Below are 25,359 nucleotides of genomic sequence, written 5' to 3'. Positions count from 1 at the left end.
GATGATGACCCAGGAGAAGCTGGGACTCTGTGAGGCTAACTCTCAGTTTAGCAAACACCAGGAAGGTTAGGGGGAAGATTCTGTAGAGAAAGTCAGAAGGGTACAACTAACCTTTCAGGGCCTGGAAGGCTAAACAGCACACTCGGGCCTCTCGGTCCAAAGCAGTAAAATCAATGGTGTAGGGTTCGGTAACTGCACGACCTCCTCCCTGTCCCAGCGACAACAGCTGGGTCCAGGCTGGCTGCATAATCAACACTGACTAAGCACCTAACAGATGCCAGGAATTGTGCTACGTGCTCTACAGAAAGTTCTGTCTGTTCCCAGAGCTGCCACACAAGTCTTATTATCCCCATTTTACAGATGACACACATCAGGCTCAGAGAGGTTATGTCACTTGGCCAGGTCACATAGCCAGGATTCAATCCCAGAACTGTCTCCAAAGAACAGGCCTATCTACCATACCACATTGCCTCTCTTCTCCCAAACATCCCACCCCAGACAGAGGGATGGAGGAATAAAGGAGGAGGAGGAGGCTCAGAATCCTCCTGGAGCTCCTCCTGCTCCTCCTGGTGCCGCCCTGGCCTGCTCTCCCACACTCCCCACTACTGCTGTCTCCAGGGGCTCATCTGACCACATCTGTTTCGTCTATAGGGTCTCTCTGGGAAGATGGCCCAGTGCATTCCTTGCACTCCTTACGCACAATGGCATTGCCAGCACAGGACTCTGATTTCATTCATAACCGGCCGAAACAGACATCCTGCTCCGCTCTAGGCAGGGGCTGCCATGGAATCCATTTGACTGCCAGGCCGGCCAGGTGTGCAGTTTGCGAAGGTTTCAACCAGGCAGGGAAAGGGCTTTCCAATGCCCCACGTAGGAGCCGAAAGGCAGAGAAGCACCACAGGCCTCTTCCCTGGGCTAAAGTCCCAGTACCCAAAGCAAACCAGAGGACCAAACACCTAACACAAACCAACAACCACAGGAAAGCAGCAGCGGCCAACCAAGCCCAGGAGAGTCAACATGCAAGACTCCGCGACTGAGCAACAAGTTAGGATGGTAAGCCCCGGCAGTCCTCCACCCGCAGACAGCCCCTCACACACACTATTCTGTCCCCCACAGGACCCCTTCCTTGAGGCTGGCCGAGAGGGACCCATGGAAGGGGTGCTAGGCCAGCAAATTATATGGCACCCAAACTCAGGCCCAGCAGGGCTTCCAAGACACACAGGACAGCCTCGCCAGGCTGGGTGTTCACTGAGGGAAGCAGTTTCACACTTCCTTTCCTTGGGCCTGCACTAATTTCCCACACTCACATTGCAAGGAGGCATTCTTGGGCTCACGGGGCCCTCAGAAAGGGTCCTATTATAAAGGTTCAGCAAATTAAAAAAAAAAAAAAACAACTTTTTGAGACCACTTATTTGTAGGGTACTATAGAGATGATAAATATGGAGCAAAAGGGGCTGCTTTTTTTCTTTCTTTTTAAATTTCCAATGAAGAAATGTGGCTTCAAAACTCTCTGCGGCGCGAGCCAGTTGCCTCCAGGCCAGCCTCTCCCTAGGCCTTGCTTTGTTTCTGGGCATCACACTCTGACCTGCAGGACCCGCACTTGGCAATCAGCTTAAACCTACCTCGGCATTTTAATGAGCCAGACTGCCATCTCCTCCCACACTGCCCGCTCTCTCCTGGAAGAACACACCTTTCCTAATTCTGTTTGTTCACCAGAAAAATAAATAAATAATAATAAGCGGGGGAGGGGGTGTGGGTTTACTGGAAGGTCATTTTGCCTTAGGAAAGGAACAAATTAAGTCGAGGCTCACAGTGAGCCGGGAAATACATTCTCCATCAGACAAGCGACCTTGGGGCCTTCGGTTTTAGGCGGGAAAGGTCACTGGTAAGGCAGCCCCTTGTTTATGGAGCCCGGATACCAATGACGTGGTCACCTCCGAGAAGCACAATTACCAACAGGGGCACGCCAAACTCTTTTATTGGTTACCTCTTAAACACTCCAGAAATCTGTCCAAGTCCTTGCAGAATAGCAGAAAACAAAAGTGCTCTCAGCAGGAGGGGGAAGCCAGGACTCGATGATGAGCAATTAGTGAATCAATGACTCTCAGAGACACTGATTTAGACCAGCAGTTCTTATTAGCGACCGTCGAGGAAAATGCAGGGACACACAAAGCTTCCAGGAGAGACTAAAGCTTTAAAAACATTTTTTTAAAAATCACCACAAACTGCCTTCAGAGCTTCCCCCTAAAACACTTAAAATGTGTGCTCAGTCTGAGGAAAAAAAAAAAAAGACTATTTGTTGTTTCCTTAATGTCAAAAAAACAAGTGAAACTACAACCACTAGTTCTGTCGCCCCACATGAAAATTATTCTCTCAAAATCCCAAAAATGAGATAAGGAATTAGGTATTAGACAAAAGAAAGAAAGAAAAAATAAAGAAGAAAGAAGGAAGGGAGGGAAAGACAGAAAGAGGCTGGCTAGCTAATATGAACAGCATGAACTTTTTCTTACCCTCATCAGATTGCAGGAATATAAAACAGATTGGTCTCCACTCCCACTCCATCCATGTTGAATAAAAAGATACTGATTCACGTGATAAGACGTATTCTTTAGTACTTTCTTAATATAACCCCTCATCATCTAAACACCTGTTCGGAAAATCAGAACTACACAACAGAAAGTGAGTGGTAGGAGGCTTGGCTAACTGACGGGCAAGGAGAAAAGAAAACATTTCTAAAAATATAATGATGCTTGCTAAGAAAATAGAGTTCCATGTACACAGAAATTCTCAGGAATACCTACTTGGGGAGACGTTCCTGTAACTGTTTTTAAACATTCAGTTCCATCCCACAGAATTCAAAACACCTACTAAGAACACAGAAGCTTCCCAGGCATGACTGTGGGGGCCGGAACCTTCCACAAACTTTATTTGAAGGCTGCTAATAACATGCAGCTGGGCATACTTTCCCCACACCCCAGCCTCTCCTGAAAAGTGCGCCCTCCCACCACCACCTTCCTTTCTTTCTGATTTTGTGAATACCAGCGAACGCTGAGACAATGCGGTTCACCGTGAAAATGGAAAACCGCAAGTTGGCCTCCTCAGCAGCAGCCAGCCCCCAGCCAAGGGCCCTCTGCAAACTTCCCCTTTATTTGTTCCTTGGTTTGGTTTCTGCTGGGTTGCTAATCTATTTGCTCTAAGCTATTGGAAGAAGTCGGCAAAAGAAAACAAAAAGGCTTTCTTCCTAGCAGGGGAAAAATGGGTAACCTTGAACCCAAAGAACCCTCCCTCCCCTGAAACTCCGGCTACTCTGAAAGTTTGTTGCTATCTAACCTTGAAAACAGTATGTGCCTCAGGGTCCCCTCCGCACTGGGCTCTAACAAGGATGTTGACGGTTCCTTATCTAAGGGGAAGGATGCAAACAATTTTTTTTAAGGTGAAAAGAAGAAACTTCTAAGAAACCGACGCCAATCTATGCACAGAAAAACCTCCCCTATCCTCCTACAAGTCTTCCAGAAAGGGGAGGGGTTGAAGAAAGAGAAAATCCAAAAACTGATCACTGCTAAGCTCCATAGTTTCAATAAATTGTTACCAATGTTGTCTTCGAAGGCAAAAAAAAAAAAAAGGTCATTTTAATTCTGGTTGAGGAGGGCATAGGGTAAACCCCTGGCCAACTTGAGCTTCTCCCATCCCCAGCAGATGAGGCTGAGGTTGATCCAGAGGTGACCTGTGCCAACAAGCCCTCCCCCAATGGGGGCAGATGACGCCATGAAGCCCCATGCTTCTCATCTCCATGGTGACCCCAAAAAACAAAATCAACTCTACACTAGGAGACACAAGAGTCCCATCAACTTAGAAACTTTCTTCTTCTCAGTAATAGTCTCCTACAACATTTTAATGAAATACTTTTTTAAAAATTGGGGTCAGAGTGTTTTACGTGGGATTACAGTCAAACCACATCTTCCCATCTCTTCGTACTTATTCACTTAAAAATATATATATGCTGCAGATTTCAAAGTGGGCTGTGACTGCACAGCTGTAGGGAATGAGCTTGTCAAGAGAAAAAACACACAGGCACACCTCTAAAACACATACATAAAGCACACAGATTTATTTTTTGTTTGGAGTGAGAGACACATCAGTTCGAGTTCTAGGCCAGCAGCTGTACTACAAACGTTTCGGGGTGGCGGGTGCGGGGTGGATGGCAGGGGCAGGGGGAACACAGGAGTGAGCCTCAAGGACAGCTGAAATGAGGGCCACCTTCGAAACCCTGCAGCCAGGCGTCACCAGGACTACCATGACCGGGTGGAGGGCCCAGCACAGCCAATCCAACTCTTTCATTAAAGAAGGGAAAAAATTCAACAGGGATGAAAAGAAACCAATACTTGGGCAATGCTCAACTCAGCGGGCCCCTTTTGAGAATTAAAAAGGAAAATAAATCTGGGGCTGTGTCGATCCAGAAAATCAGAGCAATGGGCTTCCCTGTTGAGAGGAGGCCACTTGATTCGCCTGAAGTTGACTATTTGTGTTGGCACTAGATCCCCTTAAAGATTGTTTACAAATACAGAGCAATCAATATTTCCTAACCCAAGGGTCTCCGGGATAGAAACATGGACCTGCTGGGCACAACGTGAGTGCTTCCCATGCGTCCCCACGCACCTGCCACCCTCTGCTCCAAGCCTGGGACACACATTCCCCTGGACCCGGCAGGCCCCACCTGAACCACGCTTCCGGGAGTGCGCGTGCGCGTGTGGTCTTCTGCCTCCTTTAACCTCCTTCACTGGGCTGTTCATCCCAGACTAAGCACCAACTTGGCTGACTCTGGAGCCTAATTTTCTCCTCCCATGCTTTCCTAGGGCCTAAATCGAGTTTTTTTGTTTGTTTGTTTTTTGTTGTGTGTTATCATTTCAGTATTGTTTCTAGTTGGGGGATTTGGAAGAGGCTGTTTCTTTCCTCATCCTCTCTCTTCCTTTCTTTCCTTTATATCTAAACACATTTTCACATGCTCTTTAAGTGGCTTCAGGTTTGGCATCCATCTCAAACACATCTATAATGGATCAGGAGCCCAAAATCTGTTTCCGATTATAACAGACAAATCAAGCCCCCCTGAAGTTGGAGGCGGGGAATGGGGAGAAAAAGTCTTTAATGGGTCAGCGATACAAAGGGACTTCTGGGGTTCTGCCCACAAAGGAAGCACTTCAGCCCCAGGGGCTGACATTACTGACTGACCCTGTGCGGCCTCTGCTTATAAACTTCCCAGCACTCACTCCAGAGACTTTACGGGCCAGATTCCGCCCTTAGTGAAATGGCATTTTCTAGAAGTCCCGGTGAGTTTGAAAGGGAAAAGAAAGGGAGTGGAGAGGAGGCACAGAAGCCCCCTCCTCTTCCAAAAATGGCAAGCCCCCACACAGAGAACACAGCTGCAGGAAGATTAAAAACATTTTATTATTTAAAGAGGTACAGAGGGTTACTGGACATGGGCAATTTAAAATTAAATACAACTCTCGTCACAGCCGTTTGCAGTTAAAGGTGAACATGGTTATTTTAAAAGCAAAATCGCCCTGCCAGAAGGACTGCCGTTCAGCAAGGGGCCCAGATGCCGCCTCAATTATTAAAGTCGTAAGCTGGCCATTCAACTGCCCTGACGGCAAGTCTCTTCTAGAGACAGAGTTCCCTGAAAAAAAAAAAAAGTCTGCCCCCCACCCCCCAACCCCAGCCCAAGCATAAAGTAAACGCTTTAGAGAAAGTGAATAATATCTTGTCACGGAGGTAAAAGACTCAATTATAAAACCTTCAGAAAGATTCTCAAGGAACATCTACCTACGGTGACAGAGACTTACACAAAACCAGAAGACAAGCTAAAATATTTCTCCCCTATCCACCCCTACCTACTCCTACCCCTAACAAAACAGAACAGGGAGAGGAAGCAGGGAAATGGGGGAGAGGCTGCCATAAAAAAATGATCTCGAGACCTGGGCACTTATCTGACATAAAGCAACATCCTCCAATCCTGAAAGATGAGCCTGCCACACACACACTTCTTTATCATCTCAGCAAGAAATATGGCTCAGGAGGCCAGCACTAATTTTAGTATCAGATTTATTATACAGCAGGGGGCAGGAATTCTTCAGGCCTGTGCCTTGTCTCCCAGTGCAGGACTAAACTGCCTTCAGGATGGCTCCTTGGAGGAGCAGCAAGGCTAACAAATAGAAACTTCTGGATTCCTGATATTCAGGAATCCTTGGAAAATACGCAACTGGCCCTCCAAGCTGCTTCCCAGTCCTTTCAAAGCCTCTGTGGGTGCTTCTAAGAGCTCCCCACTCTGAATAAAAGACCACAACACACATCTCACTTGTTTGAAATGAACCCGTCACCCCAAGCAAAGACAGGAAACCCCAAGGTCATAAAGCAAGGGTACACCAACATAGTCTGAAACCAAATCCAGTAGTGACAACTCCTAGTCTCCCCGCTTTGATCTGAAGGGAGATAAAGCTAGGGAAGTCAAAGCAGTGACAAATTTAAAATGTTGACATCCTCAGCCAGCCACTCCAACCTCGCTGCACATAAAGCCCTAAATGGATGGAAGACACATTTTCAGGTTGTTTGATCTCACTCAGGCTTCCCCACCTCCAGTTTCTGGACATCCTTTTGTCTGCTTTTGGCCCTGATTTTTCTCCAAGTTATCCCACGGAGCAGGACTGTCACTGGTAGCCTCGGCAGTTGTCAGTCAACCTGATTGCTTTACTCCAGAAGGCCCTTTTTACACAAAAGGCCTCACTGAGGCAGAACGGGCTCACCTTTGATTTGTTCACCTCTCACATGTAAAAGCAGCTCGTACGCCTCTCCCGAGCATGGCTGCACTCGTGGAAAACTGAAACGCAGTATATTGGGAAACAAGGCTTTTTAAAGCATTCTCTGGAAGGCAAGATCCTAGCTTGGGTTCTGCTCGAAGAAAGAGCTAAACAGAGCGAGCTGGAACAGAATTAGCCCCGAGAACCCAGGGATGGAGGGAGAGTGGCAATACCAATTTGCTGGAAGGGATCTGGAGAGTAAACGAAGAGGAACGTTTGGATTGCAAAGATAGAAACAATTCACTTTGCATCATTTTCAGTCTTTGGAGTTCAGTAGGGAAGTATGATTATCAATCCACCAGAGAGACGGGGAAGAGTGGCCCACATGAGCTCAGAATTGGCTGGTGATGGCGTTGCAGGTAGTAGAGGTGCTGAGAACTGACACTATATCCCTCACGTGATGCTCTCTTTAGAAGATCAGGCTCTCCCTGGCTAACTATGGCCTTCAGCCCTCTAGACAGGAACCTGCTGGACCACAGGGGAGTGGGCCTTGCCATATTCCCATAGGTTGAGCACACACAGACTAGCAAACATCAAACACCAATAAGCCCTCACACACCTGGTATGATATTGCCAACATCACTTCTCGGGGGATAGCAATTATGCCACAATTTCATGTCCCTGACTCACCAGGCCACACACGACAAGACTGCAAGAGCACCTCCTCCTTGGGCCCCTGGCCTGGGCAGAACTCACGGGAGAGCCCCTGGATTGCAGAGTGCTCTTTCCCCAACACCCATCTGACCTGGCCACCCCCACCCTAAAACTCATTAAGTGCTCCCCATGGCCAAAAGCAGTGGTCTCCGAAGTAGGGTTTAGAAGAAAAAGATTAAAATGTTTATGTGTGCTTAGCTTTTTTTCTCATCCTATTTTATTTTTAATGATTTGCCTTATTAGGAGCATGCTATTTTAGTACAGAAGTATATGTATGTCATTTATAAATAAATATGTATACAGTGCAAGCTCAAAAACAAGTTTACCAATAGGGGTCCGTCACTAAGAGTATGCCGATTGCCAGCCAAGGGGTTACACTCAACCCCCTGAGCCAGGCACACCTGCCCTGCCTGTCCCCTGCATGGGCCAACACTCTCAATCTCACGGAGGTGGGGGTTGGGGGCTCTGCTCACATCAATGAGAAGTCAAATTTGCCTCTCACCTTTAACACTTGCTACTCCTCAACTAACCAAACCACCAAGCTGCTGCTCCAATTCTCAGATGCATCTCAAATCCATCCACTGGTCTCCATCACTACCTCCAAGAACTCAGCTAAGCAGCCATCCTTCCTCAAGTGGATCACCACAACAACTTACTCACTGATTCCCCCACAGCCCCCTGGGGTACCCACAAGCCACTTTTCGTGTAGACTGTCAGAGAGATATTTTCAAAACGCAAACCTGATCATTTCCCATCCCATCCCTTAAACTTTTAAATGGATGGCTTCCCCAACCCTCCTAAGATAAGAATTTTTATCCCCGCCAACGCAAGTGTGACCTCGCCTGTCCCCCTGTCCTCCTCACTCTCTGCATTCCAGCCACCCTCTCTTCCCTCAGCACATGAAATGCACCCTGCTACTTCCCTCCCTACATCAAGCTCAGCCTCAACGTTATTTCTCCAGGAAGCCTTCCCAAAACCCAAAGGACACTGTTTTTTTTTTTTTGTTATGATCCCTTTAACATCCAATGCATGGATGTATAGCATTTATGGTAATGGTACTTCAATCATGAATCAGGCCAGGCACTGTGGCTCACGCCTGTAGTCCCAATACTTTGGGAGGCCAAGGCAAGAGGATCACTTGAGCTCACGGGAGTTCAACCAGCCTGGGCAACAAAGTGAGATACCCACCTCTACAAAAAATTTAAAAAACTAGCCAGGCACAGTGATGTGTGCCTGCGGTCCTAGCTACTTGGGAGGCTGACGCAGGAGAACCGCTTGAGCCCAGGAATTCAAGGCTGCAGTGAGCTTTGATTGTGCCACTGCACTCCAGCCTGGGAGACAGAGCAAGATCTTGTCTCACAAAAAAAAGAAAAAAGAAAGAAAAAGAAAAGTAGTGAATCATGCAATAAGTTGTTTAATGAACATGCCCCTGCCAGCCACAGACTCCACAAGGGCAGGGACTGAGTTGCTATTCCCCAGCTTTGGGCCTGGTTCAGGACTGGAGCTCCAGACATTTGTTGCATAATGAGCAAATCAATCTTCCCTCTGCCCTCCTCTGCACATTACACCCCAGCCCATAAGGAGCAATGTGCTACACCCCCCAAAATCCAAGCTGTCTAACTGCTCCCACAGTTCCCTCAACTTGGAGGATCTCCTCTCTCTCAAGATTCAGCTCACAAGCCCTCCTCCGTGAAGCCTGCCCTGCTTGCTCCGTCCTCTGTGCCCCTCCTGTGCACGGCTATAGTCCCCTCTAGCTCACATCCTGGTTTAGACACCTACCTCCCTGCTAGCCTGGGAGCAGCCAGAGGATAGGCTAGTATCTGATTCTGTCTCCTCTGGGCCTAAGAGCATGCCGAGCGACCTCATGTGTGTCCATATGCGGCCTGTGTTGTGCTCACTGGCATAGATTCCCCTTTCCACCTTCCCTTCCAGAGAGTAACAATATAATAGTTCACAACAAGTGCTAAGGCTTTTCCCACCTAGAACACCTGTATCAGGTCTGCCCTGAAAAGAAAGCTGAGATACAGCCAACAGACACCGACTCTCCACACAAGTACTGGCGTCCACAGCTCCACGTCTGCAGTGGCCAAAGGGCATGAACCTGTCCCTAGTTCACAGTTCCTGCTGCATACGCAAGGCATGAGAAACAGGTGCTGGTGCCAACTTAAAACCATCTCATCAGGAGGGACAGCATCATGATAAACAGCTAATGCATGCAGGGCTTAATACCTAGGTGATGGGTTGATAGGTGCAGCAAACCACCATGGCACATATTTACCTTGTAACAAACCTGCACATCCTGCACATGTATCCTGGAACTTAAAATTAAAAAAAGAAAAAAAAACACATCTCACCAAGCTCACCAAGGGGTTGGGGGGGCAGTGGGGGGATGGAGGTCTTAGTGGGAATGGAAGCAATAAAAAGACAACTCTGTCTGCCAAGCACACATAGGAACACTCTAAAACAGCAAATGGCCTTTGATCAGCCCCGCCTGAGTCAAGCAAGGCTTTTAAATTCAGATAGTACCAGGCGTGGGTTCCAAAACCTAATGTGGGTCTCCGTGTCCCTTGGGGATTGGTCCTCCTCTTGTCCCTCCTCCCCTTTCCTGCAGTGAAGTAGTTAAGATGTCAAGCAAGGGGAAACCCCAGTCCCCATCTCCTCGAAGCTGGGTGGTGCAGAGCACTTCATCAGCTAAGTCCCAGACCATGCATTGTGGGCAGGCCTTGCCTCTTTCGCCGCAATTCTCCCTCTATGGGAAACTGTTCAAATCAGAATGTCAATCTATGGAGCTCAAATGTTTTCTTTCTTTTTCTCTCTTTTTGAGAGACAGGGTCTTGCTCTGTTGCCCAGGCTGGAGTACAGTGGTGTGATCATAGCTCACTGCAGCCTCAACCTCCTTGGCTCGAGAGATCCTCCCACTTCAACCTCCTGAGTAGCTGGGACTACAGGCATATACCACCTCACTTGGCTAATTTTTGTATTTTTTGTAGAGAGGGTTCTCACTGTGTTGCCCAGGCTGGTCTCCAACTCCTGGCCTCAATCAGTCCTCCCACCTCTACCTCCTAGAGTGTAGGCGTGAGCCACTGCATCCAGCCTCAAATGTTTTCTCAATGTGGTCCCATCTAGTCCGCATCTTGGCTCAACTCTCAGAAACCTTTGGTCAAATCACTATGGAGCTGTTAATAGTAAAAGTAGCCCCCAGGAATAATGTGCTAGCCACCTCCCAGGCGGTGTACTTTACGAACACTGTCTCCTGTAAACATTACAACAATCCTGTCAGGTAGATGCTCATATGGTATTATCCCATTTTACATATCAGGAAATTGAGGACTAACAAAGTTAAGTGAACTCCCCAAGGTCAAGCAGCTAGGAAACTATTATGCCAGAAAGAAACCCTAAGACTGTCTGCCTCCTAAGCCTCTTCTCTTAAGCCCTAATCAGCACTGCTTCCCACCACATGCCTTCATTCTTCCCGTCTACAGATGGGGAAATCGAAACATGGAGCTGCAAGGCAAAGTGCCTGAGGTCATGTTCAGCACATCAGCATTGGGCTAAGAGACCAAGAGACAGAAGTCAAGTCTCTCCTGCTAGGACTGGAACTTTCACACCCATGGTCTGCCATACTCCCTCACGACCCAAACCACCCTGTCAAAAAGAAAACCAGCCCGGGTGCGGTGGCTCATGCCTATAATCCCAGCACTTTGGGAGGCTGAGGCAGGCAGATCACTTGAGGTCAGGAGTTCGAGACCAGCCTGGCCAACGTGGCGTAACTCCGCCTCTATTAAAAATACAAAAAAATTAGCTGGGTGTGGTGGCGGGTACCTGTAAACCCAGCTACTTGGGAGACTGAGGCAAGAGAATCACTTGAACCCAGGAGGCGGAGGCTGCAGTGAGCCCAGATCCTGCTACTGCACTCCAGCCTGGGCGAGACAGCAGAATTTTGTCTCAAAAAAAAAAAAAAAAAAAAGAAAAGAAAACCAACCCAAACCCCCAGTCCGTAGAAGAAAGGTCCCTAACATGATACAACCCAAGGAGAACAGGTCCCTTCCTCTCCAGGTCTCCTTTCCCCTGACTATGCAGTGGGGCTCACTCACTGTCTCTGGTCTCATCCTTTCTGCCACCGTTCCCCAGGAGACCGAGTCAGCCCTGGGAAAACTTGGGAGCCAGGAAACCTTGAGCCTCGGCACAAAAATGAGGCGCCTCCGTTACCTGGCACTCACCAGGGACTTGCCTCAGAGAAATTCTAGCGTCACCCAATTTGGAAACCAAGGAAATGAGTCATGGCCCTTTTAGGAAGCTAGAGAGATGACCTTTACTTACAAAAAAGGAAACTGAGGCAAACAGCAGCGGCAGCACGCCGGGAAACACAGTAGCTCAGAACCCACACCCACCCAGGCACTCTGGTCTTGTTCCTCCCTCAAGTTCTAAGAGAATGCTTTGCACTTCTTTAGTAATTGTCCCCTCCTCTATCTTTCTCTGCATATTTCTTCCTTTGGCTTTTAAACCCAGAAACTTTCACCAAAAGCAGGCACAAGCAAAAAGGAGCCACATTCGTGACAACAGTTGAAGCTACCTCATCAAGCAACTGAGGTCTAAACTGGCTCCTAATTAATATTAACCCTCCAAATCAGAGTCATGCTCAGAAAACCTTGGATGAAGAGACGCCAGGCGGGAGGGGAGTCTCCAATTTTCTTTTTACTTCATCTGGAAAATTAAGAGCACTGCTGATTTGAACAAGAAATCATCAAGGAAAGCAATCACAACTCCACACGGCCCATAACTCGATGGACTTGGATGTGTAACCTGCCACTTTCATGTGCTGAAATTAAAATGATTGTGGCAAGAATAGCAATGATGACATGGGTTTGTCCCTCCTCCTTCAGCCTTAGAAAACATAAAAACCCCTACAGAATCTTCTGAAGGAGGTCAGGTAAAAGATCTTCCTTCTTTGTCAAAATAAACCAGTAGAAAACTGGTCCAAGACTGTGCTAAACAGCCCTTCCCAAAGAGATGCTCCCCCAAGACTCTTTCTCTCCAAGGATAATGAATTTGAGGGAGGGGAGGGAGACAGTGAGCACAGAGAACTGAAGGAGGGAGGGGGTCCTGAAGACCCTCCACTCCAAACTCAAACACTTACTTGCTGTTTCTGCATTAATTACAATAAACTGCTTCATAGCCTAGTGATCACTTAATGGAGCAGCAAATATGGCTTTTTCCCTATAATTAGTCAATGTAATCTACTGCTATTTCCCTCCTCCTGGCCACCCCTTCTCTCCTTCCCTTTCCGTCCTCTACACACTAACATTCACACGCACTCCATCCCCTGTCCAGGATCCACTTATAATCATGATCTTGTTCCCCGTTCCCAGCAATACCTGGTAAATTCCACCCAGTGGACATGAAGTGAAAGGGACCCACATACAGGGGATGCCCCAAGGGGTCTGGGGGCTTTCCCAGCCCCGACAATAGGTCTGAGCGTCAGCATCTCCCAGGCCAATGGCTGGGAACTGTGTTCATTTCCTGAGCTCTACCAATCTTCTTCCCACTCACAGGACAGGGCTCATGGGTTTGTAGATCAAAACCTACTATTCCATATCCCCAAGCAAAAGTTTCTATGAAAAAGTAACCCTTGCCCTCAATCCCAAGGTTCTCCCTCGCTCCCTCCTAGCTGGGGCTCTTTCATGTCTCTGAAGTTACTCTCTCCTCTTGGACCATCCAGCCCTGTGCTCCCAGTTCCTACCAAGTGTCAAAGGAACAAAGGCATCTTCAAAGGCTGGGGACACCATCTAAGGTTCCTAACTGAAATGATTTCCCTGCCCTTGAAAATGTGGCTTTTGTGAAATGAAGTTGCTAAAACAGCCCTTTGGCATGTGGATTAAGGATGACAACACCCTCTTTTATGGCCTGCTTTTCTCTACTCAGACCTCTAAGGACTTATCAACTAACTTCAGATACTCTCATCACCAGCAAGAACAGAACACTTTGTATCTTTCCCATGTTCGAGATGGCTTTAAAATTTTTCTTTTGTTGTTTATGGAGAAAAGAATTCACATTTTCTCAGTATTCATCATACACCTGGTGCCTTATTTATACTGGCTCATTTAATCCCCACAACCCTACTATTCCCCTTTTTTTAAGTACAGAATTGAAACCCAGAAAGGCTGGAACACCTTCCTAAAGTCACAGAGTTAGTGGCAGTTATCAAGTTTCAAACTAGGTCCCTCTGAGTCCAAAGCCCGTGCTGCCAACAAACCACACACTTCGTTATGGCACATGAATTTGTCTGAATCCAAATTACACTGCAATTCTACCCGTGTCACATACATTTATATGCATAAACGCACAACCACGTGTGTGTGTCTTCTTTTGTATTTCTCAAACATTACTTAAGGAAAAATACGTAAGGCAGAAGACAGCAGTACTTAGCGTTCTCCAACTACTACGTAAGGCAGGCACGGAGCACTTACCCAAACCTGCCACAGGACGTGCTCCTTTCTAACAACCCCACAACTCACACACCCATACACTTCCTTATGTTGCAGACACCATTCTAAACACTTTATTATGTTAAGTCCCATAATCCTTATGACAACCCCATGAAGGTGATACCATCATCATCTCCATTGTACAGATGACAAAACAAAGGCACAGAATATTTAGATAGCTTGCTCAAGGTCACACAGCTGCAGTGGCAGAGCAAGGATTCAAAGTCTGGTTCCAGAGTCCATGCTCTTAAACGCTCAGCTAGAACACCTGGAGAGAAAGTAATAAAAATAACGACAGTAAAAATAACATTTTACTTCAATGTGTAAAATGCAGGGTGATGGGGGGTGAGTAGGATCCAGCCTCTATTTGCAGTTTTGTTTTCCCATATTCTCAGGCCCCGGCCTATGTGGCATCACGTCATTCACAAGCTGGTTTCATGATTTCTCTATTGTGAACGAATTCTTCTATTGAATCTCTCCTGTCAATATCTGAGACAAGGCCCAGAAGGCCCCAGGAGCAGGTCTCTAGGAAGCTTTTTAGAGCCCCACACTGGGGTAGATGTTTGAGGATGCTTGAGTTCAAACTCTCAGAGCAGTTCCCCCGCTCTGACACTTGGGGGTTTTGTCTGGATAGCCCTGAAAAAAACAGTTATTTCCCATGAACACAATCAGTCCTTCTCTTGGGATGCCCAGGGGGTCTGATCATCCTCACTCCACCGTCTCTTTATAGCTTGGGGAAAGACCCAGGTGACTGTTTCCACGGCACCTTCTACTCTAATCCACTGGGGTCATGCTGCAGAGGGGCCGCTTGGAGGGCTAATGCTGTGAATGCACAGGCTTTGAGCAAACAGGATGACGTGGCAATAAAGGCAATCACAACATGCTAAGGCGATGGCCTGCCAAACGCAAACTGCCCAGGCAGGACTTGTGCTCAAAAGAACTTTAATTGAATTCTTTCAGCAAGTGCAGCAGAAAAATTCATAATGAGGTCCCCCCCCCCACCCACATCCCCACTATGTCAGTCTGTTCTGCAGTTGTGTGAATCCAGTAAAAGAAAAAAAAAAAAAAAAATCATTTTTAACAAGAATATGGGACGTGTATGGACATTAACCTGAACATCGTGTACTGCAGGGAAAAACAATGATCAAATCCAAGGATTTTTATTTTCAAAGCAATTTAAGTAAAGCATTCTGCCATAATCAGCTTTACTACCCCTATTAGTACAGGAAAACAAGTTCTGAACCTGGCTCCCTAGTGAAAAAATGCAAAATTTGTATAATTAAAATTATACTTGTGAAATTCAAACACACTCTAATTTCCTAAGGGCCCCCTAATCAAGTCAGAAGTTCTTACTAAAACCAATTATCTTCTTTGGAAAACAGAAGAGGAAACATATACATGTAGCAATCTCGTGGAGATTCACAACCCAATTCTCTCCTAGGTGCAAGCATCCTAATTTGATCCTTTTTCCCCAGGTAGAAGACATGATGAATCCACTAGTTAGTTTTTATTAAGTAGTATATCTGAAAGTTGAAACATTTTTTGCTTGTTTGCCTCTAGCTACAAAAAGGACACATTTGAGAGATATCCCAGAGGGAACTGAGTTGAAAGGGATTTAAAAAATAGAGTGTATCAGTAAATACACACTGTGTTTCCACCCACTCCACTATACACCAGGCCCTATCTGGCTATTTTTCTTAAGATGTCGCAGCAGTTTTTCAGAACACTCGCCCAGTACTGTTTAGAATGGTCACTCTAATGCCATGGCGAGGAATGGGATGAAAATACGAGCTTCCTTTCTGAAACTAGTTCGCAACTGAGCCAGGTACTCTCGAGCTCCTATCCAGGAAATCAGCAAGACCTAGGTTTCTCACCTTCTTCTACCCCCAAGGTTGCAGCTTTTCTTGTTCTTGAGTGAGTGGAAATTCTTGCACAAGAGCAACATGGAAATACGGATTACTTTCCAAGACACTGAAATATTTAAGAAGCAGTTGTTGCCATGTTTAATTATGCCACCAATATGAAGTGTTATCGATCTAGGGCCTTTGGAGGGGCGGGATCTGTACACCAACAGGTTTTCTTTTCCCCTCTCCCTGGAATTCATTTCAGAAATGAGAATATTGACTTTTCACACTCTTGGTTTGGTGTTCCAACAGTGCCCAGCTCTGTGATGTTGGCCTGACACGCCGCCCAGCCAGGCTCCGGCAGGTATCCAGAAAGTAAAAACAAAATGCCGCTAAGTTGAAAACTTTACTTTTCAGCAGGTGGGAATAAAGGACAAAACTCAACATTCACGGCCTCTTTAGGGTGGAGAACACCACAGTAAACCAAACAGGGTTTGTTGTTAAAAATTCCATCTGAAGACTTAGGAAACACAACGTGTGCATGCACAAACACACACAGGCGCCCATGCAAGCATGCAGAAGGAAACACTCAGCTGAGAGCAAGTCATGGGAACTGCTACTTGGCTGGTTCCTTGCCTCCCTCCCACCAGAGCGGTCACCTCATTAATGTCACTCAGCATCACATTTTGCTACACTAGGTCTTTCTGCACTCTGTTCCCCTAGGCGGCCCAAAAGCCCGCTTCCATTGTAAACTTCTGTGCTTTAGGAAACTATCAAAAGCTTTGATGGCAGAAAAGAAAAAAACTTTTATAGCGCCTCCCTCCTCACTCTTTCCCCTCCTTCAGTTTCTTTTCTTTGGTGCTTTATTCAACATCACTACACACACAAATCATGGTCTGAAAGTCGTTTACAATATGTCAGCTTAAAAAAAAAAAAAAAAAAAAAAAGATTGCAGTGGCCCGTCTATTTTGCAATTGCCAAAAGAGAATAATTCATTTCGGTGGAGGGTATGGATGAAGCCCTGAATACATTCCTACACCATTTTCTGCCCTTCAAAACAATAAAAATGTAAAAACCCAGATGAAGGAAGGCCCAAGGTGGCAGGAACGAGAATCTCTTGACCCCCAAGGAATTTATTCTCCTAGATCTTCTGAAGCACTCTCTCCCCAGAATGCATCATCAAGACCATTTTATTAGATTTTTCTAAACCCTTGAAATTGTCACATAATTGAAACAGAAACAGCAATTTAGAGCTCTTGAATGGATTTCTTAAAAAGAAGACTCTGTGCTTGCCCGACACCCCCGCTCCTTGGCTGCTCATACCCCTAACCTAAATTTAAGGTCCTTGCACACAAAACCCTATTTATTTTATAAATCCTCCCCTGCCATAAAAGTTACACATTCTCCTAATGCCTTAGATTTCAGGACGTTTGAGAGAAACTCATCCCAGACAACAGGCTAAAAAAAGAATCCATTAGCATTAACTTGCCTGTCACAGCCAGTGACAAATAAATGAATGTGATGCTTTCAGATCAGTCATTGGTAGAGCTACCCCCGGGCAGATAAAGACCAGTACAGGGAGAGAGAAGACTCATGGGGAGACCTCTCACACAGCAGTGTCTCAGCTGTTCCCTAGCTGCTCCCCGGGACTTTACTCTCAGAGGCAGCAAAAACACAGGCATCAGATACGGAAAAGGAAATGAATTCCTAATGCCCATCAAGCATCCCCAAGATAAAGGCTGCATGCTATCTCGCCTCGAGAGCCAGGACCTCATGAGCAGGCCAAGCCACTGACACAGAATTTTCCAATCTCAATGTGCTGTTCTATCCCTCACCCTAGAAAGGAGCAACAGTGCTAATCAACCCACGAGCTGCTCGGTTATAAGGTCCCCTGATGATGGGGGCAGGGACATTTTTCGGGGACAGTAACAGATGATGAATGCTTATACTGTACCCACAACATGCAGCTATCACCCTAGGCCATTCATATGCAGTAGCTCAGTCCATCTTACCCTTAGCAATTCTACAATGGAGGGACGGTTGCTATCCCATTTAACAGGTACAAGTGGAGGTGCAAAACCACTAAGTGACTTGTCTAAAATGCCATAGCTGGTAAGTGGCACTTACCTATGCTAAACAAGCTCTCAGAAAACAGGTAACAAAAATTAACCTGAAGCTTTCCAGCTAGACTATCACAAATTCTATTCCTCAGCCTGAGCATTTTATAGCCATCAGGCAAAGTGGCAACCTCAACTCTGCCCACTCATGTTGGATGCAGCAAGGCTTAGCAGAGAGGAGAACAAAGCCTTGGGATTCAGAGAGACTTTGGTCCAAAGGCCAACCCTGAACCTTACTAGTTCTATGGTTCTAGAAAGCTGTCTGCCCTCTCAGGCCCCAGTTTACCCACTGTCAAACGGAGATAATACCAACTATTTCAAAGGATTGTTGTAAGGATTAAAGAAGACTAAGTGTATAGTCTCGGTACTATGCCTATAACATATAAACTCACAATAAATGACAGTCATTATTCTGAATTAGGATTTTTCTTTTTAACTATTCAAAATCTCACAGCTAAAATAAAGCAAGATAGCAGCCAGGCATCCACCCTAAGGCTAACATTCCAGATGGTTGGAAGCCTGGTGCTATCTTCAAAAGAAGGGAGAATGGAAAATATCTTATCCTACTCTGGACCCAGTGGGACAACTGTCCCAGCTGGACCGACCAAGTGAGGCTGCTGCTACAACATACCACAGGGTGCTCAGCCCCAAGACCACACCTGCGCACTTCACACCACACGGAAAGCAGAGATCATGATTCCAAAAATGCATATTCTTCACCAAGCAGACACTCAGCCAAAGGCGACCCCAAGCAGATACCATCTATGAAGTCACAGGTCAGACTGCTCTGAGCCACGGGACACACACTGGGGTTATACAGGCAATCTGTGATGTCCACATTGAGAAATGACATCTCACTGTCTACACATGGTGAGGTCACGATCACGGCTTAAACAAGGACAAAGTACAGGACTTTGGAATTGTATCTATATCATGGTCCCTTGTTAAGGAGGAAAAGAGGAGAGAACAGAAGGTAGAAACAAGAGAATGAGAGAGCTCTTTGTAAGCAGCCACACACCCCAAAGGTAGAGGTGGCATCTGCTAAGAGCATCACTCCTGAAGAAGAAGAGTCTATGGCAAGAGAGACTCTGGCCAGAGAGAACATAGCCTGCATTAAGCTTAAGCCACAAGCCCAGGTTGGAAGTTCTCCAGGCAACAGCATCCGCCATGGTCCTATCAGTGACCCCAGCTTCTATATGGGTCTGAATGAGCTCAGAACATTCCACAGGGCATCCCCATACACCCGCACAGACACACAACAGGTTCCCCACAGCACCTGTCAGTTTGCCTTATTGGGCCCTTGAGGCCTTCTACAAACTGGCTCCAACCTACTTTGCAAGCCTCATGCCAGGCCACTCTGCAGCACATACCCTTTGCAACACCTGCACACCCTGACCTTTCCTAGTGCCTAGCCGGAAGGAAGAACAGCATTCCTGCCATTATTCCTTCCTATCTGATCTTCAAGACCTGGGGCAAAGACCACCTCTTCCTAGAAGCTTAGATTGCCCTTCCTCAAAATGCTGTTCCTACCTCTTCTACTGTGCTTATCCCACCCTTTCCAGTATCACAGGTCACCCCCTCCTCCCAACCTGGAGCTAATGATGTTCTTAAAGACAAGAACTGTGTTTCTTCTGGCATTTTTCATTCGCTCTACCTAAATGGAAGTCCACGATGTACAAAAGTGCAGAAGTAAGGGCTAAGGATGGGGTGTTTTTTGTTTGTTTGTTTGTTTGTTTGTTTGAGATGGAGTCTCGCTCTGTTACCTAGGCTGGAGTGCAGTGGCGCAATCTCGGCTCACTGCAACCTCCGCCTCCCAGATTCAAGCAATTCTCTGCCTCAGCCTCCCGAGTAGCTGGGATTACAGGTGCCCGCCACCATGCCTGGCTAATTTTTGTATTTTTAGTAGAGACGGGGTTTCACCATCTTGGCCAGGCTGATCTTGAACTCCTGACCTCGTGACCCACCCGCCTCGGCCTCCCAAAGTGTTGGGATTACAGGCATGAGCCACCGCACCTGGCTGGGTTTTTTTTTTTTTTAATTATTAGTAAAATATGCTTGTGTCCAATGGAGAAGATAAGGCATGAACCTAAATACCATAAAACTCAGAACAAAGTACCTAACGCAATCCCCGGTGCTGAGCAGAAACTTGGTAAATAATTTCTGAACTACTGAAAGTGGCAACTGACTGTACCATAGATATGGTCCACCCCACTCCCGCCATCGCTCCTCCCTGGCTTTGGTGATCACACCTGAGAGCATGTCATAAACTTATCTGTTTGCTCACTGCTTATTTGCCCCACTAGAGCAAAAGTTTGGTGACAGCAGGAACTTTGTCATATTCTCCACACTATCCCCCGAATTTTGCACAGTATCTGGCAAACGGTCGGTGCTTGTTTGGTGAATAAATGAATGAGTGAATGTCTAGCACAACATGCAACAGATGTATGTGCTCCACAAGTTTCTGCTAATTTATTATTGTTGGAAGGGGCTTAACCAAAGAAAAGGTAAGTGCTGTGGAAATCCAAAGAAGTATGACTGTTTCCACAAAGGGGCAGGGACAGCTTCGTGGAAAAGATAATGATGAAGCTGGGCTTTCAAAGAGGGTCTGTTGTGTACAGAGAAGGGAAGGGCAGTGCAGAGAGGGAAATCTGCAAAAGGACAGGTTTCTCAAAGAAGGGTGAGCATTCAGTTTCAAGGCAGCAAAAACTAGAAGAATTGAGAGATAAGGTGGAAAAGACCCTGGTACAGATTTTGAAGGACCTTAATTAAGCACCAAGCTAAGACGTCGAGACTGTGTTCCATGCACATCAGGAAGCACCGAGTATTTCCTGAATCCCTCCAAAAGTGGGTGCACGCATACAGTTGGCAATGAACAAGGATTAACCCAGCTCTTGTTAAATGAACACACTAGATCAAACGGGAAGAGAGAGATGATGAACTACATCTCCCCTGTGTGTTCTCGGGGTTTTCGGCCGAAGATTGTCCGGGTTTAAAAATACAAAATAGGACACAAAGAATGGACGCTGCCCCAAGCGGCACCTGAGATGGTCAGCTGGTTCCTCCGAGACTGCCTTCTCCTCCCTTCCCGGGCAGCAGAGGAGGCTCACCTGTCTGCCAAAAATCATCTGACAAAGAACACAGGAGCTTCATAGTCCTAGGAGACTGACCTCAACAATGAAACGAAAGCATGTGAGGAACGGCAAAATCCAGGGAAAGGACATTTGTAGGACAAGGTGCCCCTCCTCCTTAAGCTGACACCTGCTACTGACTTGGAACATAGGAAGGAGCGGTGCTCACCGACAAGAAAGAAGCTAAGCCACTAATCCTCCCAGGTCCTCGCTGCTGTGGAAAAGGGCTGCAGACACACCACCACATCCTCGCTGGGAACGAGAAAACCCACTGGCAGGCCAGTTCATGGTGGCTGCCGAGATGACAGCTGCAGATCATCCAAGATGGCAAGATGCTAGAATGACCCGACCCACAGCAGCAAGGGAAGGCCAGATGCCGAAAACTCACCCTTCGCCCTTGAGAAGCTGCCAAGAAACCACTCCCCCAGAACAGGAGGTGTGCGTGTACACGCTCGGGCTGCCATTGCACCCATCTGGATGCGTGCTTAGCAGAGAACCTTCCAGGGCCCTGAAGCCACGTCAGAGGACAAGACAGGAACAGGAAAACCTGACTGCTAGCTCAGCCCTGCTACAACCTAAGTGTGGATCTGAAGCAACCAACGTAACTTTACTGGGTAGCAGCTACCTCCACGGTGAAAAAAGCAGGCTGGACTCAGTTCGTTCATTTAGTTACCAAACAGCAGCCACCAACAGTTCCCTGCCCTCAGGGAGCTTACATTCCAATTAAGATTTTCCTTCAGTCATTTCACCATTGTACTTTTTTTTATTCTATTAAAATAATTATCTGGTCGGGCACGGTGGCTCATGCCTGTAATCCCAGCACTTTGGGAGGCCAAGGCAGGTGGATCACCTGAGGTCAGGAGTTCAAGACCAGCCTGGCCAACATGGTGAAACCCCATTTCTACAAAAATACAAAAATTAGCCAGGCATGATGGCAGGTGCCTGTAATCCCAGCTAGTCGGGAGGCTGAGGCGGGAGAATTGCTTGAACCCGGGAGGCGGAGGTTGCAGTGAGCCAAGATCTCACCACTGCACTCCAGCCTGGGCGACAGAGTGAGGCTCCGTCTTAAAAATAATAATAATAAAAATAATAATTCTATAATAATAAGATCAACAGACATTTGCGGAGTGCTGTTTTATGCCAGACTCCCAGTGAAGAATTTTGCATTTATCCTCCAAACAACTAACTGCAGGCAGTGAGTACTATAATTCTCCCTCTTTTACAAAGGAGGAAACTGAGCCTTGGGGAGGCTTAAGTGACTCGCCCCTGGCCACCCCGCTGTGACTGAAGGCAACTAGAAATAGGTTAAAGAAGTGAGATCTCCCTGCATCAACAGATGAGGTTCTGGCCTCTAAAAGTTAAGGAAGGAAATGGCAATTGGGAAAAGATGGGAATGTTTTCTTATACACAAGGATAATTAAGACAGATGGTGAGTACACCCAGACCTCGCTCTTGCTGAAAGATGCTAAAGAGTCTCTTGGTTCCTCCACATAGAAGAAAATAACCCACGAGCTCAAGCAAAACTCTTCCAGACAGCCAACACTCCAGTCCAAAGGGAGCAAAGAACAGGGAGTGATGGATCCCCATCATCCTCATGTCTCCAAAGCCTTCAAATTAAGTCATCTTTTTAGAAGAGCATGACCATTTTAATTTTTAAAAAGATAAGGGGCTGGGGGGGAACTCTTACATATTTTACAAAATGAAATAATCATCCAGAGAAATACGAAGATATAGAATGAACCAGTCTTCTTGCCCTGATCAAAATATACCTCACTAATTAACAGCCTCTAGTCTCCGAAGCGTCTCCCCACTCTACTTCACTTGAGATGTGAACATTTACATCGCAAAGGGGGATACATAAACTGTAGGATTCAAAACCTTCCTTTGGTGACTTATTAAAATTCTGGTCTAAACAGATTTTTATTTATATGATACATTAGAGAATATTATGACAGTACTAATATGAAATCTGTTCTTCACTGCCATGGATTTTCTTTCTTTTTAAGTTACCATTTCTTTCCACTAGTCTTGTTTTAACACCTCCACGGAATATTTCTCTGGCGAGCGTTAGCAAGGAGGGACAGCCAGAAAGCAGAGAAACTCATTTTAACTGAAACACACACTGACATATCATTTACAAGCTCCTCGCCCATCCCACGAGGAGGGGCAGGGTTCCCTCTGCCACTGTGACCTGAACACAAAAACACAGAAGTTTTATTGAAGGGAGATAATCGATAAATAAATCAGGGTCGACTTAAAGTTCTATGCTCCTGGGTTTTGGCCCCCAGCGCTAACTCCAGTCTGAAATCCCGGTGGCCAGGCTCAAATTCTATTGGAAAATAACCGTAGACAGGGAAGACACTTTCTCCCCACCCTGTCCCAATTCCCAACCACCATACAACCTTGGCATTTACTCTGTTGCCTCACTGGGGTTGAGTAACTCCAGAACCATCTGAAAAGATGGCCTGAGGGGTCAGATCAAAAGATACAAGACAGTGTCACACACTGGTATAACATGATGGGGCAAGGCAAATCACCTAGGCCCAGGAACGCAGAACTTCAAAGTACTGGGCCTCTGGCTATGGTTCCCTCAGCACAGCCCGCTGACCTCTCCGAGCCCATCTCCTGTCGCATAGCAGAGGGGCCATCCCCTGAGGTACCCCCACAGCATGGCACAGTGGTGAAGGGCCCAGTTCTACAGCCAGGTTGCCTGGGTATGGCTCCTGGACATCCATCTGTGCCTCCGTTTCCTCATTTACAAAATGAGCTCATACTAGTACTCTCCTCATAGGGCTGCATGAGAATTAAATGGATTAATAAAGTCTCTGCAATAGTGCCTGGCATATAAATTCAACTAGTATCATTATTATTACTCAACCTCTCACAGGATTGATGTGAGGACTTAATAAAAATGGCAGAAAAAAATAGCAGGTTGGCCAGGCACAGTGGCTCACGCCTATAATCCCAGCACTCTGGGGGGCAGAGGTGGGAGGATAGCTTGGCCCAGGAGTTTAAGACCAGCCTGGGCAACACAGTGAGATCCCATCTCAAAAATAAATAAATAAATAAATAAGATAGCAGGTTAACGCTTCTATGGCATTACCATGCAACGTCTTTTTTTTTTCAGTCCCTTTACCTTTATTAATTTACGTAATCTGCAGAAAAACTCTATGAGATGGAAAAACGAAGGTTCAAGGAAGTTAAACGACCTGTTCAAATTCACACAGCTAAGGAGTGGCACCACCAGCATCCGAACCCAGGCTGTCCCACTTGCAAACAACAACCGGAACAATGATGAGAAAACCGACAAGAAAAATAATGACAATGACGAAGACCTTTGTCGCAGACCATGCTCTTTTACTCTACACAAAAACCTTCTGGGAGAGCTATGTCATCACTCCTACTTTACAGATGAGCACACTGAGACTGAGAGAAGGTTAGGGACAACAGCCAAATGCCCCAGGAGATGGAATTCAGATGGAGATAATGAACAGCCAAGTCCTCCGTAAAGTGAAGTATGTCATACACAGTAAGGTGTTATTATTAAATCCCTAGAATTCATGGAAAGATGTTCTCCCCCAAGTGGTTTCATGTTAATTCACCTACAAACATTCCAGATGTGGAGTTGAGGGTTGGGAAAGGAATGCACACTTTGACAAGTTTGAGAAACATTCTGTCTCGTTTTCAAGTTGAATGCATCACTGCAGAGTGTATTAAAGTGAAATATTGCTTTTCTCATTTAAAAACAAAGTTAAGGAAGGGGGACAACAAAGGGGAGAGAAAAACAGGTCAAACCCATGGTTTTACCAAGTAAGGGATTTTTCCAGCTTCCCTCTTGGGTAATCTGATCCAAGCTCTGAGTGATCAAATGACTAACCTGGAAATTTGAAGATTCACACTTATGGAAGAAACAGCAATTCCTCCAAACCCAGGAAATACTGCTAACTCTGGGAAGCCCTCTGAAATGTGAAGGATCACAGACAGTTTGGGAAGTAACTAAAACAATAAGGGCAATTCCAAAGTTTGTGCTAAGTACAAAAATAACCTAATCATTAATTCCTATCATTTGCTTAAGCATTACAAAAAAATGCCTGAAGAAAATATTTCATTGTATTTACTTAAAAAGTTGTGTTTCCATCTTTAAAAAAGGGAGAAGAGAACAAGGAGGGAGGGAGAGAAAGAAGGAGGGAAGGAAGGAATCAATCAATCAAGTGGTATGCCCCAGACCTGAAATTCTCAAAGTACCATCACAATCACCAACTTTTTCTATACTAATGTGCAAA

General features: G+C 46.3%; 1 protein-coding gene across 10 annotated transcripts in view, besides 1 other annotated feature; it reads right to left on the bottom strand.

The window, feature by feature from the left end:
- The window catches only part of MSI2 (musashi RNA binding protein 2), a 445,731-nt gene that overhangs the window by 413,059 nt on the left and 7,313 nt on the right, over positions 1–25,359 (bottom strand). The gene's annotated exons all lie outside the window — the stretch shown is intronic.
- Positions 3,416–3,685: an enhancer, noted in NCBI's record as "active region_12428". NCBI's record gives its function as "activates an Ori minimal core promoter by ATAC-STARR-seq in GM12878 lymphoblastoid cells {active_cell/tissue: GM12878}" and the evidence as "EXISTENCE:reporter gene assay evidence [ECO:0000049][PMID:35858748]".

This window comes from Homo sapiens, chromosome 17 (assembly GCF_000001405.40).
Source record: "Homo sapiens chromosome 17, GRCh38.p14 Primary Assembly".
Classification (NCBI taxonomy): Eukaryota; Metazoa; Chordata; class Mammalia; order Primates; family Hominidae; genus Homo; species Homo sapiens.
This window is presented reverse-complemented; position numbering and strand designations above follow the sequence as displayed.